Genomic DNA, 19,254 nt, shown 5'->3' on the forward strand with positions numbered 1-19,254 from the left:
CTGCAGCCTTGACCTCCTGTGCTCAATCAATCTTCCCACCTCAGCCTCCTGAGTAGCTGGGTTTACAGGGTTTTCTACCCTTCTAATCCTCTCTGGGTATTTCCCTATATATCAGTGTTCTGAATTTTCAAGGAGTTACAGAGGTTTCTGAGAATATAGCGAAAGCTATGGACTAGTTCGGTTCCATGCGCAAACACTCCAACATTTGCATACAACTCAGAGGATCACCGTCCCTGTGAATGCCATTCATGTACTCTTCTTCAGTCCCTAAGCCCCAAGGTCCCCAACCACAGACACAAGCTCATGCAGAGAATCCATAGAAATTCATCTCTCTACACATCCCATAGTCTCACCAGATAACACCAACCTGAGTCCTGGCTCAGCAAACTGATAACTTATCAAACCTCGTATCATGCCTCCCTACCCACCCCCACCCAACATCGCCAAACATGGAAACCCCAGCTGGGAGTATATCTTGAAATTCAAGTTTCTGTTTTGGAACTGGTACCCAGCCTCTCTTGAACCATTTGGTCACATCCATCTCTGAGACCAGGCAGGTGGATGCTAATTCACCATGTTAACCCCTTTCATGCCAGTCCCCTTACCCGAGCCTTGGCAAAGAGCCATATCCCACCACCCCACCCTGCCACAGTGGAGTGGAGCACTGTATGTCATGGAAGCCAGCCAGCAGATTTAGAAATCATGTTGCTCTTGGCATCCACTCTGGGACTCTGTGTAGAGCTACGTGCTGAGATCCCATTGCATGGGCAGCTTTTCAATGCCGGAGTCTACCCTACATCTTGCTGTGCTGACGCCTTCCCAACACAACTTCAAAAACAAGAGGAAAACCGTGTCCTCAAACTAGGAGTCCCTTTACTCACCCGTAATGAAAATAAACCAAAGTCCGTCTTCATTTGCCCTGAAATCCAACTTCCTTTCCAAATTATCCTCATTGCATAAGCCCTTCTAAGCAATGTTTATCAGCAGTCAAAGCAAAACCATGTGGATCTACAGTTTGGTTCCCACAGATCCCAACACTGCCTTCAATCCATAATTACCAAGAACAAGCGGCAAACAGGAGTTTCCATCAGTACCAGTTAGACCCCATGACCGGAGGCCCTCTCAGAGAGCAATGGGAGATTAAAACAGTATCTTTTGATCAAAAGCAGTAATGTTTCCCCCCATGACGCCCTTGAAAATGAAACTCCCACCTTACCCTTCATTCCAAATTTGGACCGTCGACCATATTTGTTGATCATGACGAAGAGAACCACCAACAGGACACAGGCAAAAGCAGCAAGTCCAACTGCTATGGATACCTGTGAGGAACCAGAAACAGAGAGTCAGCAACAATCACAGAAAACCCAATTTCCTTGAAAATAATGTGTGTGCCCAGATAAGAACAGTCCTACTGCCATAGTAATTGTAGCCTTCTCAGAACTGCAATACTGAGTAAGGTCTTTAGAAGAAGAAATATATGAGACCCTTAGAACATTTAAAAGTATATAAATTACCCAATTTGATTAGAGAAAGTTCCACGATTCAATGTTCTGAGCCCCTTCTCACCTGGGGCCATTCTAACAGATGCAAAAACAAGCCTAGAGAGGCGTCTGATTTTGTTTTAATTAGCAAGTGAATTCTGCATCTTCATGTTAAAATTCCTTATATAACATTCTTATCCAGGAAAGTCGAAAAGATCTGGATTCTAAAAAGAATCCTTTCTCCTCCTCCCCAGAGTAATCTTAGGCTCTGAAATAGTAGGAGTGGGCGCTTGAAAACACACCCAAGGAGATGCCTTGAGCAACTTGGCCTTTTGTAGGAAACTTGTACAGTTAGCAGCCCCTGCAAATCAGGCCCAGCTGGGCTCCTAACAGACTGGGGATTTTCTGAACCCTAGGGCTTGGAGCAGATCGTCAAACATTTCCTCAAACAATGAACTATTTCCATCCAACAAGGAAGGTTTAAACTGCCTGAACGTAGTTCAATTCATTACTTTTTTTTTTCAAAGTTTCAAGTAAGATAATATTTGGAAAAGTTAGCAACACAAATGAAGTCTGAAAATGACTATGCCAGTCAACACACTCCTCTTGACCAAGAAGTGACTCACCCCAAAAGTGTCTTCTTCTGGTTTGTGGGTCACAGTGATAGGAGGTGTGGGACTCACTTCGTCAACTGAAAACCAAACACAAAAAGGAGGAGGACAGTTAGCTTCCCGGCTGGGGAGGCTCAGCCACAGTCCCTGCCCAACTCCCAAGCTCCCTTGAGACTTCCCCCTGCAGAACATCCTCTGAAAGCCAGGCTCTTGCAGTCTGCCTTCCCCAGGCTTTGCAGGACCCCCCACCCCCACAGACCAGGTTCCTATCTGACCATCTGGCTGGTGTTACAGTTCAAGCACAGGCTCCATAGGAATAAAGGACATTCAGTCCCATTCCCTGCCCCAACCCCAGAGAAAATAACATAACCTGGGCAACTTGGGCCATGAGCTATAGAACAGAAAAAAAGAAACATGGTTTGGGATCCTGGCCAGGGTCTGGATTAGGCAAATGTTACTGGTGGTGGCAGCTGTTGCTGACATTCTGCTACTCCTTGCCACAGGCATTCCTTTTCCTCTCCCTGCCTTTCCTGTGCCCTCCCTCTTTCCTTCTTTACTCCTCAGTGAGATCCAGGAGGCCTGGGGATCCATCAATCAGCCCACTATCCATTCCCCTAACACTGATTTCAGAACACAAGGGCAGCTTAAGTTAAAAAAATAGAACCATCTGACCGGGAAACACCACCTTTACCCAGCAAGGCCAGGATGGGAAGCTAAGTATCAATTTTCCCCTCACTCCACCATCTAGAATCACCTCCTTGACAAGAAATGGCCCCAATTCAGAATTCTCTGAAGGAATATTCTGCAAGATTACAAGTCCTCTAAGGCTGAAGACAACTAAAGAAATCACAGATATTGACATCAGTGCCAGAAAGCCGAGGGTGTTTCTAAACAGCACCTATTATCTCAAGCCAGACACGAGGCAAAAATGGCAGCAGTTGCTGCTATTATTCCCACCTCCCATGGAGAAAAAAAAGAAAAAGGAATAAACACAGGTTTCCCTACAGTCCATAAACAAAACCCCAAATTCTTTTAGGATTGTCTAGCCCTAGCCCCAAATCACTTATAAACTGAGCCTCAATAATTCCTTCTGAGGACACATGAGCCTATCAGGAAACCTTGTAAGTCAAGCTCTCATGAGGCGAGTCCTGGCCAAGTGCTCAGGCTCCTGAAGCAGGTGAGAAACACTAGCAGGTTTATAGGTTCCATATTCTCTCTGCAAGAACAACTAAGATGATCAATAGGGGTCTATTGAGGCACATGAAACCCATGTCCATCCTCACACAGCCCCTCTTTATCCAGGTAAAGAGATCCACAACATCATCAGACATTAGAAAACTCCCTGGGGGATAGTGAACCACAGAGTGATTACCCAAGAAAAGTGGGCTTGGAACTGCCTAAAAAGCATTGCTACCCTTCATTTCCCTTTCACAGTTCACTCAGATGCCCTCAGCTGCCATGGGCCAGGGATGATGTGGAATAGGAGAGAGGGCTATTTGAATTCAATAGTTACCGATAGTATCAGAATAAATCAGTTTCAAAGCAACAGGTAAAGCAGACTTACACAAGATAAAGTTATCCGTGCTCTCTGCAAAAAAAGGACAAAGAGATAATTAACAAATTTAATAAAAACCAGAACAGACACACTACTTGGTCCTAATAGCTATGATCTCTCCCATTCACCATGATTCCCTGTTCTCATGGCAACTGACAAACTAAAATGCATGGCACATCACCCGTCTCCCCATGCTACACTACCAGTTTAGGGGGTGGTCCTCCAAATGGAGAAGGAATGAGAGATAAAGTTCCTGGTTTCAAGGGAGGTGGCCCATCTAGGAACGAGAAACCAAACCAGGTTCATTATGAGATGATAGGGAATTAAAACTAGACCCTCTGTCTCATTCACAGCTCTGCTTTCTTAAGGACCCAAAGTGCTGGGAATGGGGCGACAGGGTGGGCTCCCCTAGACATTCTTTGAAAATGCCAGGTATGATCTCAAGATAAACTTATTCAAAGTAATATGCAGAGTTGATTCTAGCAGGTCACTGAGAAGTTCTTGAGAATCCCTCTAGAATCTGCCCGTCCTGCAGATGGTAACATGTTATTTGATCTTTGGTCTCTAGAAATAGCTCAACTAATAATGAAAGCTAATCCTTATTGCACATTGATTATAAGCGAGGGATGGTGTTAAATGCTTCATGTAGCACATCACTCAATCCTTATTACCATTCTAAGAGGTGGTAGCATTATCCCCACTTAACAGATAAGGAAACAGGCTTATACAGATTAAGTAACTAATTGGATGTCACTCATTTAAGAAGAAATTAGAGCTGAATTCAAATCTCCGTCCAGGCTCTTGCCCACTCTACCAGAAATGCTCAAACTTTAGCACACAACAGAAGCACCCAGATGGTGATTGCTACCAACATCCAATAAAAGGAGTGAGGATTCCTTGGAGAAATGGATGATTTCAGGGCCGGACCAGGGAAAGTACAACATGTGCCTGGAATGGCTTGTAATACTAAAAAGTAAGAAAGTGCTCAAAGATTAATGGAGGCCTGGAGACAGGGCACAGGAGCCAATGTACAGGGGATCTCAATAGCCAAATGTAGGATCATTTAAGCAACAAAACAATGATAGTCCTGGATTGTTATGGATTAGGATTATGTAGTCCCAAAATCCATATACAGAAACTGTAACCCCTAGTACTTCAGAATGTGACTATCTGGAGAAAAGGTCTTTAAAGATGTATTAAAGTTAAAATAAGGCCATTAGGGTGAGTCCTAATCAAATATGGTTGATGTCCTTATAAGAGGAAATTTGAACGTCAACACACACGCACAGAGGGAAAATCACATGACAACACAAAGAGAACACTGCCATCTGCAAGCCAAGCAGACAGGCCTCAGGAGAAACCATCCCTGCCAACACCTTTATCTCAGGCTTCCAGCCTCCAGAATTGTGAGGAAATAAATTTCTGTTGTTTAAGCCACCCAGTCTATGGTATTTCACTGCTGTGACATTCCTAGCAAACGAATACATGAATTACCAGCCATAGAACAAAATAAATATCCATGAGTCCATATTGATACAAATAAACAATTCAATAAATAAAAGGTGGAAGAATGAAATGCTCTTCCTTACAAGAGAATTCTGATTTTTAAATGTAGAAGGAATGATAAAAATAGAAAAATCACCATTTCACAAATATTACAGTAATAATTGTTTCAGGCAAGAATCATCAATGAATGTTAGAGTGTGAAAGAAGGATGAGAAACAAGCTATTTATGTAGTTTAAAAATATTATACTGATTTCTTACAAAGGGGAAAATCATCTGTTTGCAGCAGAGAAACCTGGCAGACACCACCTTGACCAAGTAATAAAGTCAACACCCCCAGTACCAAAACCTATCGACATCACGCGCCCCCGAAACGATGCACTGAGAGGGCAGAGCATCACTTCTGCAGAGTTCCTGCCAAAAATGCATAGCTAGAAATTAATCATTAAGAAAAAAATCAGAAAATTCCAAATGGAAAGACAGTCTACAAAAAAACTAGTATTCTTGCAAAGTTCCAAGATCATGAAAGACAAAGACTAGGGAACTGTCCCAGATTTAAAGAGAGTGAGATGACACAGGAACTCAACGCAGTGTGTAATTCTGAATTGGATCCTAGACAAGGAAAAAGCATCAATGGGACAAGTGATGAAATGTAATTCACATCTGTACACTAGATAATAGTGATGGACCAATGTTAACAACCTGGTTTCGATCATTGCATCGTGGTTAGGTAAGATGTTAACATCTGGGGAAGCTGGACAAAGGGTGGAAGGAAGTGCCTTGTATGATTTTGTAACTTTTTAAAATATGAATTCCAAACTATTTCAAAATGAAAAGTTAAAAATCTTTAAAAATTAAAAAGAAACACAGATTACTAGTCCTCACCTTAGAGTTTCTAATTCAGTAGACCTGGGGTGGGTATCAAGATTTTGCATTTCTAACAAGTTTTCAGCAGACGCTGATGCTGCTGTTCCCTTTGGAATGCACTATATCAATACTACACAGCCTCCTGCCTCAGCCCACCATGCCCTGAAAAGTAAAAGTGTATTCATTCATTCATTCACCCATTCATTCACTCATTGCGGGCCCTCACAGTCTTAGCTCTATTAAGTATGAACCAGCAGATATTCTCTAACTACTTGTGGGGAATCGGATACTTTCTGTGATGGAGTCCTTCAAAGAAAGCCTTACTTATGGTACACGCAGTTCGGTTGCTTGTTTGTTGTCTGTTCTGTATTGTTTTGGGGGATGGTCACAGAACTATCTTCACATTCCTGGGCATACCCTTCGTGCCAACACCCTCTTCTCAACAGCAGGTGACCAGAAGCCTGACTGGGGCAGGGGGAGGATGGAGGAAATGGAAGCTCTAGCCTGGGTTTCAGAGCCTGAGAGAAGAGAGGTGCCAGATCAATTCGCAGTTTACATTCATTTGCATATGTCTCATAAGGCTCCCATTTATTAGAGAATATTCTCACGTTAGCCAAATGTTTTGGTCAAGTCTGTGAACCCTGTTATCTCCAAATCAGCCTATGAGTGTTTAAGGCCTTTGCCAGGGCCTGGAAGCATTTATACATCCAGAAAGCACATAAGCTTTGGAAGAAGGAGACATCCTGACTCCTCTCTAACCTGTGGGAGGGTTCAGGCATTCAGCCTGGAAGAGGATGGTACCCAGGACTGGTCCTCACCTCTGACTGCACCAGCAGGCTGGGAGGAGCGCTTGTCCAGCACACCAAGGAACAATCTGGACATGAACTGGGGCTGTGCCATGAAGGGAATACACATGTCTCCTACAGTCCCAGACCATAACTCTTCAAGAAGCGCCCCTTCTGTAAATTAATCTTCACCACAACCTTTAAGGTAAAAGCAGGAAGGTGAAGCAATTTGCCTGACGTCACAGAGCTGACAAGTGATTGAGTCAGAGTCAGAGCCCTGGCAACGTGGTTCCATGACAACTAGCCTAGACTACCTTAACATTATCTGTTAGAACTTACTAGGTTGACCAGAAAATGACTACTGGTTCTAGAACTCTTGAATTCATCTCAGCTCTACATCCTAAGAATCTTAACAATGGCCCACAGCTAGTAAGCCTTTTCTCTGTCCAGACGCACTGCTATGCACTTGGCAGGCATAACTTCCTTTAAGTCTCATGGTAGCTTAGATGGGAGATATTATCATTCCCATTTCATGGATACAGAAATAGAGGCACAGAGAAGTGATTGTCCTCCATCTAGTACTGGCCTTGCACTAAGCCCCATGCTAGGAGCCCAGGCCACCAGATGGGAGGGCTATCTGGGAGGGGCCACAGATGGGACCTGCACCTAAGTCTGTCTGATTTCAGACTGCCTGCTCTTAGCCTCCATGCTTAGCTGCCTGGAAGCAAAAGAGAAACACACATGATAATCACGATGTCTCCACACTTTCACATCAAAAGAGAAGAGCAAGAATCACAGACCAGCTTTGCATCTAGGCTTAGCTGGGGTGAGTTCGGTTTAGAGGGCTATGACTCATCTCTTCCTGCACCCCCAGATAATTGACTCTCTTGAGCGTTTAAGCATCTTGTCACTTGGCATCGTTTCCCTGTCACTGCCTTTTCATCACCCATTGATCCCTTTAACCTAGACTCACAAAACAAGCAAATCTTCCCACAGGGTGACCCTAGCAGGATGGAGATGGGTCTGAGGAAATGACCTCAGGTGAGGTGCTTTCTCTTTGAGTTTCTCTGTGACTCTATCCTCCCTCCATCCTCCTGGGGCCAGATTCCCACTCAATTCCAGGGTAGTAGATTGCAAAGGAGGGAGTACTGGAGTCACCTGGGGGCTTGTTAAAACATAGCTGCTAGACCCCACCCTGGAATCTCTGATTCCGTAGATGTGAGTGGCGCTTGAGAACTTAAGTTTTAACACATTCTCAGGTGAGGTGGATGGGGCTGGTCCATGGACCAAAGGTCACTTTTGAGAACCACTGGCCTGAGGAGCACTGATAACTGACTATGGTGACAAGGGTATCCAGAGACTAACAGAAGGGGCTGCTGCATCTCGTGGGGGCAGAGGAGGTATCTCTGAGATAGCTCTGAGGGCTGAGAAGACGCAAAGTATTGCTTCCTCCTGAGACAAAGGAGAGAACGGAGAAGCTGTATCCACCACATCATCCAACTGCTGCTGCTACCCCACACCTCTCAGGATACCCCTGGCAGAAGGAGCCAGAGTGTCTTCTCCTCCCTCCTGAGCATTCTAGGGTTCCCCCCTCCCTAGGCCCCAGAAGCTTCTCTTTGGAAACAGAAACATTGCTTCAGGGTGCTTCATTTCCTCACCAATCAAGACTTTCCCTCAACAATGTATAGACTTTCCTCTTTAAAAACAGAATTTATTCTCTAATCAGGCCACAGGCAGGGCAACGTTTCAGTCTTTTATGTCAACAAGACCTAGCCTGCCCTTGTAGACCATAAGAGCAAAATATCTCTGCTCTAAAAGCCTCTTCTTCCACTGTGCAGGCCAGGACTCATCTACCTGCTGAAAGAGAGCACAGTGTGACCCAGGAGGGGAAGTGTCATGGGGGCTTTTACTGAGCATTCTGGGGATGATGGAAGTTTCAGACTACATGGGATTTCCAGGGCCTCAAACATCTGCACATTCTCAACTGCCTCCGAAAAGACGGCTCCATCATCCCTGGGACCTCAACGGCAAGAATTTAGCTTAATGCAGCCACATTTCTCCGACTTTACTCTCAGGGCCTCCAGTACGAGTTCCCTTGCACTGACATAAATAAAGCTTCCTGGAGCTGCCACACCCTGGTAATTTGTAGACTGTGAAGTTGACTTCATAAAAACAGATGCTACATACTGCTAGCTCTTTCTGCCTTTTCCCTTTGTGCACGTGTGTGAGCATGCATGTGCATGTGTGTATGTGTCTTATCAGTTTTTACACTGTATCCCATTAGAACTCCTGATTCCTAGGGATTGAAGACCAAAGGTCTCCTAGTCACTTCCCAAAATGAAGCACCAAGCTCAGCAAAGACACATGGCTTTATGGGCAAAACTTATCAATTGCGGAACCCACAAAAAGATGCTACAATCACTTTCACTAAACTCTTTTGGTGTTTTTTTCTCCTCCAACTTCAGGGAGATATTTAAAGCATCTTAGCCCAGACAGAGAAAGACAGAATCAACTCCCAAAATCAAATCAAGCAAAGTTCTTCAGTAATTTCAATAATTTTTCCTGGTCCACTTGACATTAGCACTATCATAAGCTGAGGGCATCAGGTATGACCCACAGTAGCTCACCATGGAACAAGAGAGGAATGAAGCCACAGACCTGGGGGCCTAGATCCAAGTCAAACCTTGTCACAGATCAGCAAGTAGAATGAGGATCAGGTCATTCATCCGTTAAATGGAGGGTTAAACTGGACACACTCTCAAGTCCTTTGCAATGGGAAATCCCGGAACCATCATCAGGTGTCAAACCCTGTGACGTGCTTTATATACCTTGACTCATTTAAAAGTCACAGGAGCAGTGTAATCATGACTATTTCATAGAAAAGGAAATTGATGCTTAGAAAAGCAAACTATCAGGCCCAGAGTCTCCCCACAAGTAAAGGGCTGGGTCAGAATTCTCTACCATTACTGTCTCTGCTTTCTCTACTATCATACAGTGTGCCCTAACATGCACAACTGTTATTTCTAAGAAGTCTTGGTTACCATGACTGCTATTGGAAAATGGAGACTCTATCCTTGTTTATACCAGATGCGGCTGGTGGTTGCACATGTTCCAGTGTGTGTTTTGTTGCCCATGATAACAGTATGAGTACTGATGCTGCTTCTCCTCTCAAGCTACCATGCCCCATCTCCCAAGCTTGTAGAAAGAATCCATACACCTCCGATCCAGCTACGCTGCCCTCACCTGGAAAGGGCTCCTTGAGGAAGTGGCCATTGATGGTCTGGTTGGCTGTGCCCAGTGGGTTTTTGGCAATGAGGGTATAGTTGCCATTGTTGTAGTGGGTGGGCTTGTTGAAGAGCAGGCAGCCCTCGGAAATCTCTCCCTCTTGGTAGTATTCCACATGGATGATCTTGGACTCCCGCAGAGGCTGCCCATTGTGCAGCCAGTGCAGCGTTGGTGGGGGGTTGCCACGCACCACAAACTCGATGCAGTGCTCCAGGCGCAGCTCAGGCTCCTCCAGGCTCACCACACGTGGGGGATCTGTCAAGGGAGAAGCCTGCTGAAATCCAGGACACAGAGTCTACCACCTCCTGCAGTAGCCTTCCAGCAACTAAAATGGGAATCCCGGTTCTTCCCCACCCACTCTGAAAAGGCTGAGGGAAGCAGAAGTCCCACCACAATCCCAGCAGAGGGGAAGAGATGTCTGTCTTTATGCAAGCTTCCTAGATCCACCTTAGCTGGAGGGCTCCCTCTTGGGACCTCTTAGGGGTTTCATAAAAGGCAGAATAGGCCAACTTAGAAGTGTCCTGAAGATGTAGTTGACTTGGAGCCACACCATCTTCTGAGGGACAAAGGTGCTCTTTCTGGGGTTTTTAGTCCAAGGACTTACTTCTCAGTCCTGCCCTACAAGAGTCCTTCTGTCCCTACTGGTAGATCAGCTCACTGCTCTAGCTCACCCCTGACAACACCTTGGCCCCTCTCCAGCCTCCTATGCCAGTTGCCCCTCACACACAGCCATCCCCCACAATAACATGCACTTACAGTAGACAGTGAGGGCAACACTGGCATTGCTCATGCCCACCACGTTCTCTGCAATGCACGTCAGGGTGAAGCCATTGTCCTCACTCGTCACATTCACCAGCGTCAAGTTGATGGCATGAACATTGGTCCAGTTCAGATTGGTCTGAAAACCCCAATAAAAAGATAACAATCAGATAGCTTCTACAAGGATGGCTCTGCTACCTAATCCCCAAATACCTTTAGGAATCAAAAGGAAAGCTGAGCGGAAGGCGAAGGAGATCTTTGTGTGAAAGCACACTGGCCAAATGCCAGGCTCCTCATAGGCAATAGTTCAGGCCATCCTCCTATTAACCCTATGAGGTGAACGGTAGTTCAGTACTATGGCCATTTTACAGAAGCAAAACCTAAGTTACAGAAAAGTTGAGTAGCATGTATAGAGCGAAATGGCTAGAAAATATTGCAGCTGCATGTAACCCAAGTCTATGTGTTTTTTCCTATAGTAACAAGACCGCAAATTTTCCCTCTTCTTCAAGACTACAGTGTGATCACTCCCTAGCCTCCTGATGGGGCTGAAGCCCAGGATGCCTACCTGGTGAGTGTTGATGGACTGCAGCCCAGTGACTATCCAGTCCACATCAGGAAGGGGTGATCCAGAGCCATTGCAAGTGATAACAGCGTTGTCACCCTCTCGTACGGTCAGGTTGACGTGGCTCACGCTGATCTCAGGAAGGTCTGGGAGCCAGACAAAGTGGGTGAAAAGACAGGCAAACACTTACTACCCAAAGGAAGCTCTGTCCATGGGGCTGATGGTGGCACTTCTTGCCTTGCCCAGTAATGACTCTAACACCACCTGCTTGAGTTCTTGGAAGACCCGCAAATCCAAGACGCTTTACATCACCTCCCCAGTAGACATCAGAACTCAGAATTGAAGCCCATGCAGTTGCAGTCTCCCACATTGCAGCGGCAGGTTGCGGGGTGGGGGCAGTGCTTAGGGAATGCATTTCTGGCAATTAAGCTCAATGGCATCATTACACTTTGGGCTCTGGTTATCTGAATAGTAGTGTTTCAGTCTCCCAATGGGGAGCTTGCTTAAAATTCAGATTTCTGGGACCCATCCCCAGACATTCTCAAAGTCTGTGTTTGGGCCCAGAAATCTGCTTTTTTAGAAACTCCTTAGAAGCTGCTGCCATAGGGAATCCAGAGACCACATTTTGAGATACACTCCTTCAGGTTTGGTTGACAGGTAACTCACAGGGAGAAAGGGAATCTGGTGTGATGAGAAGGAGCACATTTAACTCCTGTGTGAATTCCTGAAACCAGTCTTCCTATGGCTCGTGCACAAAGGGACAGGAATGACCAAGAAGGGGAATGATGAGTCAGGAGGTCTGCACACAACTGCAGAGTTCAAGGCTGGGAGGGCGTTTCGAAAGGAAGGCTCTGGCATCCCAAGGTAACGTCCAGCACCATCTCTGGTGTCTGAGGGATGCCTCCCTGGAGCCAGCTGGGCCAGGCGGCCACTCACTCACCACACTGACTGATGTTCATGCGGAAGAGAGGAAGCTGGGAGCCATCAGCGTTGATGCAGTAGAGGTTCTGGCTGTTGAGCTTGGCCTCCCCCTGCTCCTGCCAGAGCTGCATCCAGCGGATGTCACAGCTGCAGTTGAAAAAGTTCTGCTCCAACTGCCTGTCGGCAAAGAGAGAGGGGAAGGGAACCTCTGAACCGAAGATGGCCCAGGACCCTCCCAGGGCTATGAGGACAAGGGGGACCCGACCTGTTCAGGGATTAAGGGGAGAAGGGATTTAACAAGGTTACAAAAGAAGTGGAAAAATCCTTGTAAGTCCATAAATTGCAGTTTTAAAACAATAAACTCATTTTTTTAAAAAAAGAAATCCAGCCAGGTGCGGTGGCTCATGCCTGTAATCCCAGCACTTTGGGAGGTCAAGACAGGTAGATCATGAGGTCAAGAGATTGAGACCATCCTGACCAACATGGTGAAACCCCGTCTCTACTAAAAATACAAAAATTAGCCGTGCGTGGTGGCGCACGCCTGTAGTCCCAGCTACTCGGGAGGCTGAGGCAGGAGAATCGCTTGAACCCAGGAGATGGAGGTTGCAGTGAACTGAGATCACACCACTGCACTCCAGCCTGGCAACAGAGCGAGATTCCGTCTCAAAAATAAAAAATAAAGAAATCCACCTCACTTCATGCAACTGTCTAAGAGATCCTTTTAAAGAGATATCAGCGGCCGGGCGTGGTGGCTCACACCTGTAATCCCAGAACTTTGGGAGGCCGAGGTGGGAGGATCACAAGGTCAGGAGATCGAGACCATCCGGATTAACACTGTGAAACCCCCATCTCTACTAAAAATACAAAAACAAAAAATTAGCCGGGCGTGGTGGTGGGCACCTGCAGTCCCAGCTACTCAGGAGGCTGAGGCGGGAGAATGGCGTGAACCCAGGAGGCAGAGCTTGCAGTGAGCCGAGATTGCACCACTGCACTCCAGCCTGGGCGACAGAGCAAGACTCTGTCTCAAGAAAAAAGAAAAAAGAGAGAGATATCAGCTCGAGATGCTCCTCTTCTTAAAACCCTCCAATGGCCTTCCATCTCATTGAAAATCAAAGTCAAAGCCCTAAATAATCTGCACCATTCTCCATCATCTCTGACCTCATCTTCCCTCACTCCCTCCTCCTCTTCAGCCACACTGACCTTGGTGTCTGCAAGGTCACCTGTTGACTGGTTTGTTCCTACCCCAGGACCTTTGCACTTGCTGTTTCCACTGCCTGCCAAGCTCTTACCCAACATCTCTACAAGGCTGGCTCTCTCAGTCTAACACTGCCCAGTCCCTTGCCATGCTATATTTGTCTTTCTAGAATTTATCACTACTGGCATCACTTTAAATATTTATTTTTAATTAGTTTGTTTATCTGTCTCCCTGAATAAAAATTAAACTCCATTGAGGTCAGCAACATTGCCTGTTTTGTTCATTCCCTAACCTAGAACTGAGCCTGGCATATAAATTCTTGTTAAAGGAAAGAGAGAAAAAGAGAGAACGAGACTGACTGACTGTCCCTGGGGGAGTAGGTGGTTATCTATTTCCAAGATATGCTCAAAGCCCATCCTGGGACCAGCTTTATTCTTTCATAAATTCAATAAATTCTTAATAAGCACCTGCTCCATAATTGGCCATGGGCTGAGTGCTGCTGACACAGAGATGAAGAAGACAGTCCCTGTCCTCCAGGAGCACTCAGCCTGGTGAAGAAGAATGTTTGATAGGGGAAGAGTCACCTTCAAGGACTTCCTTCTCTACTGATTTTCCTTATGACTTGAAGCAAGTCACCTCCCCTCTCAATGGGATTATTAAGGAGACAATGAACAGCATTAATCAATCCAAAACTCAGAGTAAAGGGCACCGGATAAATCTGAATGCCTGGATCATTAGAGGAAACATGATTCTCTTTCTGGACCATCAAGGAGATGAATCTGTTGGAAACCAGAGGGAGGGGCACTTGGGCACACCGCACTAAGACCTAGGATATTTTTGACAACTGGAAAACTCCAAAATAGTTAAGCATGCATCAAAATTAATCAGCTTTCAGGAAAACGTGAGGCTCCTGGGGAAAAGAATCAGTGCTTTCTAGTTACTAGGACACCGGAGGCAGAATGTGCAAATACCCCTATGTGGTATCATCCTCTTAGCCTAAAAGTACTCTCTGCACATGGTACTCTGTCAGAAAGGTGAAGGGAAAGAACTAACCCTTACTGAGCATTTGCTTCTTACGACAACCCTGGGAGATGGTCAGAACTGCAAGGAGGGAGGGGCCCTCTCTGATGTTTGGAGGGGTTAAGTCACATGTGCAAGGTCTTTGGCTGGTGTGCAAGACAGCACAGTTTCAAACCTCAGTGTGCTGGACTTCAAAACTCATGCACTCTCCACCCCATCTGTCATGTGCAAGGCATTGCTGGGTGCAAGAGAGAAGCAGAGAGGAGCAAGCTAGGAGCCCTGACTTCAGGAGCTCATATAGGCAAAGACCATGTTGGGGTGGGAGGGGGGGAGTGTGGGGGGTGGGGGTAAGTAGAAGGAAGTAACAAAGGCAAAGGGAAGTTGTAGGTGAGGTGTGAAAACAGAAAAGAAAGGCTTAGCAGGACAGAAAATGTGTCAAGGAGTGCTGGGAAACAAAGCTGGAAGGGCGAGTGGAAGCCAGATAAGAGAGGACTTTTACTGCCACATCAGGAAATTTGGAATTCATCCAGGAGGCAGGGAAAACCATTGAGGCCTCTAGAACTGGAGAACAATGTGAACAAAGAGGTCTGTAAAAAGAGAAATCCAACAATAGTGTATAGGATAAGCTGGAGAGGAGGAAAACTAGAGATTGAGAAGCTGGTTAAGATTGCTTATAAACACAGGGTCAACACGTACAGTTGTGTAGTTTGAGCATTTCTCAAAGTACTCAACCAAAGGGATAGACAGAGGATAAAATCCACTCTGTACACTCTTGGCCAGACCCAGCTGTAACCCTGGCACGTGGCTACATGCACCCAGATGGGGCATCTTTTCTAACTCACACATAGGCACCATATAGACTGGCAGGGTCCAGGTCAATTCTCAAACTTTTGGTTTCAGAACTCCATTCACTCTCAAACAAAACTACTGACGGCCTCAAAGAGCTGTTGTTTATGTGAGTCATATCTATCAGTATCTACCAATTAGAAATTAACACTGAGAAAGATGTAAAACTCCAGAATACATTAGCACAAACTCCATGCATCATCAGAGCAATGATGTTATCACGTCCTGTGGCCTCTGGAAAACTCCACGGTATGCTCATGAGAGGATGAGAGTGAAAAAGGCAAATAATGGCTCAGTGTTACTATGAAAACAGATTCTATTTCATTGTCTCCTGAAAAGGTCTTAGGGCCCCCCCAGGACACCCTGGACCACCACTTGAGAACTGCTGCCTAGTTAATATGGGCCTAGAGTGGAGTGGGAAAAACTGGAGAGAGGGAAGAGAAGATCCAGTTAACATCACAAGGAAGGCAAAATGGTACGTGGTGCTTTGTAGGGGATAAAAGAAGAGGAAAAAGCAAAAGATGACCCCAAGATTTTAAGCTCCAAGAGACAGGAAATCAACGGCAGGGAGAACTGTCTTTGGTTGAAAACAGAAGAGAAAGAAAAGAACCAGCAGAAAGGAAGAGAGGACACATTACGAATGAGGTTGGGATGGGGGTGAGGCTGGGGAGGGACAGACCAAGGTCCTAGAAGGGGAAAGGGAAGGATCAAGTCAAGAAGCCTTGGAGGTGTTGCCTTGGGGTTATGTCAAGATGTCTGTGTAGCTGGACATGAGACACAGAAAAGAGAAAAGGTAGACAGGAAAAAATGAGACGAACATAATAGACATTATAGGATCATAATATTAGCATCGCACTTGCCGTAGTGCCAACACTAGACTAAATGTCTTCCACGCATTTCTTCACGTAACCCTCATGACAAGAAGAGCAGAAGGCCAGATGAGCTGCCCAGTGTATGCAGGAAAGATAGGCCAGAGGAGGTGGAGCAGTGTGGGCTCACACTGCAGGGGCTGCAAGGAGAGGCCTGGCCACCCTGCTAGAATGACAAGGAGGGTCCAGATGCTTGAATATATGTGAACTGAACCAGGTCAGCCTGGTTTTCCCAGCTGCTCACTTGACAAGATGCAGTCATTCATTATTAAGTAGGTGTAAAAATACAAATTATCCACCTGGGTGGAAAAGACTAGACAGGCGAGGGGCTTGGCTGCATTGCCGCAAGCCACACAGCACTTGATGCTGTGCTGCCTCCTGTCTGGTCCCTGCACTGCTGCACATCCCAGCATCTCATGGCCCCCCAAAGGCAGACAGCATGAGAATGTCCTGAGGCTGGCCAGAGAATTAGGTGAGATGTTTGGGATGTGCCAAGGATGCTGCCAGGCAAAGGCTTTGTACAAATTTTCTGCTTCCTTCCATCCTTTCCCCCCAGGGTCCTGCTTACAGGACCTGATCCAGCAGATGGGATGCACCTTGAAACCTGGTCCTTTGTTCCAACTGAGTTTATGGGAAACTGCAAAAGAACTGTGGGGTATTCCCCCCATCCTTCTGGACTTTCCTCCAAGAGAACAAGACACACACACAGCAGAAAACATTTTGAGTCTTAAAACAATGACACCCTAGACAGCCCACTGAGCAAATCCACAATCGTCTTTATATCCGGACAAGAGAGGATTCAAATGGTGAGGTGGGCAAGAAGCAAAGACCGGCACATCCTAAATCTAAATGATGCTGTCCATCCTGTGTCCCTCCTCCCATTGAACCAGATCTCAAGCAGGGGAGCCTTTAGCCAGGACTTTGGGGGCAGTCCTGCGGAACCTAAAGCATGGCTTTCCATGCTTCATGAATAATGCAGGCAGTCGCATTAATAATACAGCAGCAGCTGCTGCAAGGCAAAGCTTACCAACACCCGGCACTTGCCCCAAGATGGCCTGGGGCCTAATCGCAGGGCTCTGATGGCTCCCCACATATTAACTCAGCCCCATCTGAGTTTGTAAGGACAGGCACTTTGCAGCACAGCCAAGGCCACCACTGGATATTTAGAAAACACTGATTCCCTCCGGTCATCACTCTAGTGGTTTTCTTCTTCCCTGCACAGCATCAACACTTCCAGTGACAGTCCTGGGGCCAGGCAGTGGAAAATGAGGAGGGGACCCAGATCAGCCAGGACAGCCCTGCTGTCACCCAGAAAAGGATCCCCAAAGGATGGAGCCATCAGCACAGGCCTCCTTGAGATAACAACAGTCAGATGGTAGGAAAAGCACACAAACCAAAGATCTGAGTTGGGACAGCTGTATCATTTCAAGTGAATACACTGGGTTTAGTTGAGTCCTCCCAAAAGATATATCCAAGTCCAAACCCTAGTATCTGTGAATGTGACCTAATTTGGAAATAGAGTCTTGGCAGATGTAATCAAGTTAAGGATCAAGGGATAAGATCACTCTCGATTTCAGGTGGGCCTTAAATCCAATAACTGGTACCCTTAAAAAAGAAATACTAGGCGCAGTGGCTCATGTCTGTAATCTCAACATTTTGGGGGGCCAAGGCGGGCAGATCACTTGAGGCCAGGAGTTCGAGACCAGCTTAGCTAGCATGGTGAAACCCCATCTCTACTAAAAATACAAAAAAAAAAAAATTAACTGGGCATGGTGGTGCTCGCCTGTAATTCCAGCTACTTGGGAGGCTGAGGCAGGAGAATCACTTGGACCTGGGAGGCGGAGGTTGCAGTGAGCCAAGATCATGCCTCTGCACTCTAGCCTGGGCTACAGAGTGAGACTGTCTCAAAAATATAAAATGAAATAGAAAAAGAAAGAAGGTGGAGATTAAAGACAAAGAGACAGGGATGGCAGGCACGTGAGATGGAGTCAGAGGTTGAAGTGATGCTGCCACAAGCCAAGAAACACCAGGAGCCACCAGAAGCTGGAGGAGGCAAGGACGGGTTCTCCCGCAGAGCCTTTGAAGGGAGTGTGGCCCTGCCAACTCCCTTATTTCAAACTTCTGGCCTCCAGAATGGTGAAACAATAATGTTCTATTGTTTTAAGCCACCAAGTGTGTGGTAATTTGTTAACGCAGCCTAGGAAATGAATACAGCTAATAACTTAACTCTCTAAGGTTCTCTTTTAACACCAGCAAAATGGAGATCATTGTGCTTGACCTTCCTTCTTCACAAATTTATTAGGAGGATTCATGATAATATATGTTAGCATGATTTGGGAACAAAAAGAAGCTATTAAGAGGCCAGAAATGATCACTATAGTAATACTATTAGTAACATTATTGTTTAGTGACGTCTCCAAGAACGGTAGAAAGTCATCACGGCCAAGACTGGGAAGAGAAATGCACCAGGACCAGCCCAAACCCATCCCCGCTACTGAGTTAATATTTTACCAAGCTGATTAAATCTTCAAATGATACTAGAGGTAATTATCACTTTCCTTTAAAAGAAAATGAAATACTCCAATCTATTTTAATCATGTCTGCTCCATGCATGCAGGGTATTCAGAGAAGCCTGTTCAAGATACATTAAGGATCCTTAGGGCACTGCTGGAGTGTTTCTGTGCTGTAGGTCTACATCCTCTGAGACCTCTTCCCATTGCCTAAATTGTATCTTGAGATTCAGAATCTAAGCTTCTTTTCTTCCTACTTCATTCTTTATCTCTAAGACAATCTCTCTGATTCCTGCTCTGATTTTTGGACAGACAGGTCTCATCTTCTCTGCAAGGAAAAAAAAAATAATCTTGCCATAACCAGAAACTTCTGAGAGCACTGCACAATGCCACGTCAAATTTTTCCAACCTGTGCCATTGAAACTGTGCTGGTTACTCCAATGCAAGTCATGGAAGATGCGAAGATGCTTCAAATTCACTCAAT

The 19,254-nt window shown here is 45.9% G+C and overlaps 1 protein-coding gene and 1 pseudogene across 34 annotated transcripts in view; both read right to left on the reverse strand.

Annotated features, from left to right (window-relative positions):
- The window catches only part of NTRK3 (neurotrophic receptor tyrosine kinase 3), a 396,989-nt gene that overhangs the window by 265,304 nt on the left and 112,431 nt on the right, over nucleotides 1–19,254 (reverse strand). For 24 of the 34 annotated variants that reach the window (XR_001751292.3, XR_001751293.3, NM_002530.4 and 21 more), the window contains 7 exon segments: nucleotides 12,350–12,507; nucleotides 11,413–11,555; nucleotides 10,845–10,986; nucleotides 10,047–10,343; nucleotides 3,657–3,680; nucleotides 2,108–2,172; nucleotides 1,217–1,319 (listed from right to left, as the gene is read on the reverse strand). Coding sequence is in view for 31 of the 34 variants with exons in the window: in NM_002530.4 (NP_002521.2) it covers nucleotides 1,217–1,319; nucleotides 2,108–2,172; nucleotides 3,657–3,680; nucleotides 10,047–10,343; nucleotides 10,845–10,986; nucleotides 11,413–11,555; nucleotides 12,350–12,507 (932 nt within the window). In the remaining 3 variants the exon portion in view is untranslated. 34 annotated transcript variants of the gene reach the window in all.
- MED28P6 (mediator complex subunit 28 pseudogene 6) lies at nucleotides 18,881–19,111 on the reverse strand (annotated as a pseudogene).

Source organism: Homo sapiens, chromosome 15, assembly GCF_000001405.40.
Source record: "Homo sapiens chromosome 15, GRCh38.p14 Primary Assembly".
Taxonomy (NCBI): Eukaryota; Metazoa; Chordata; class Mammalia; order Primates; family Hominidae; genus Homo; species Homo sapiens.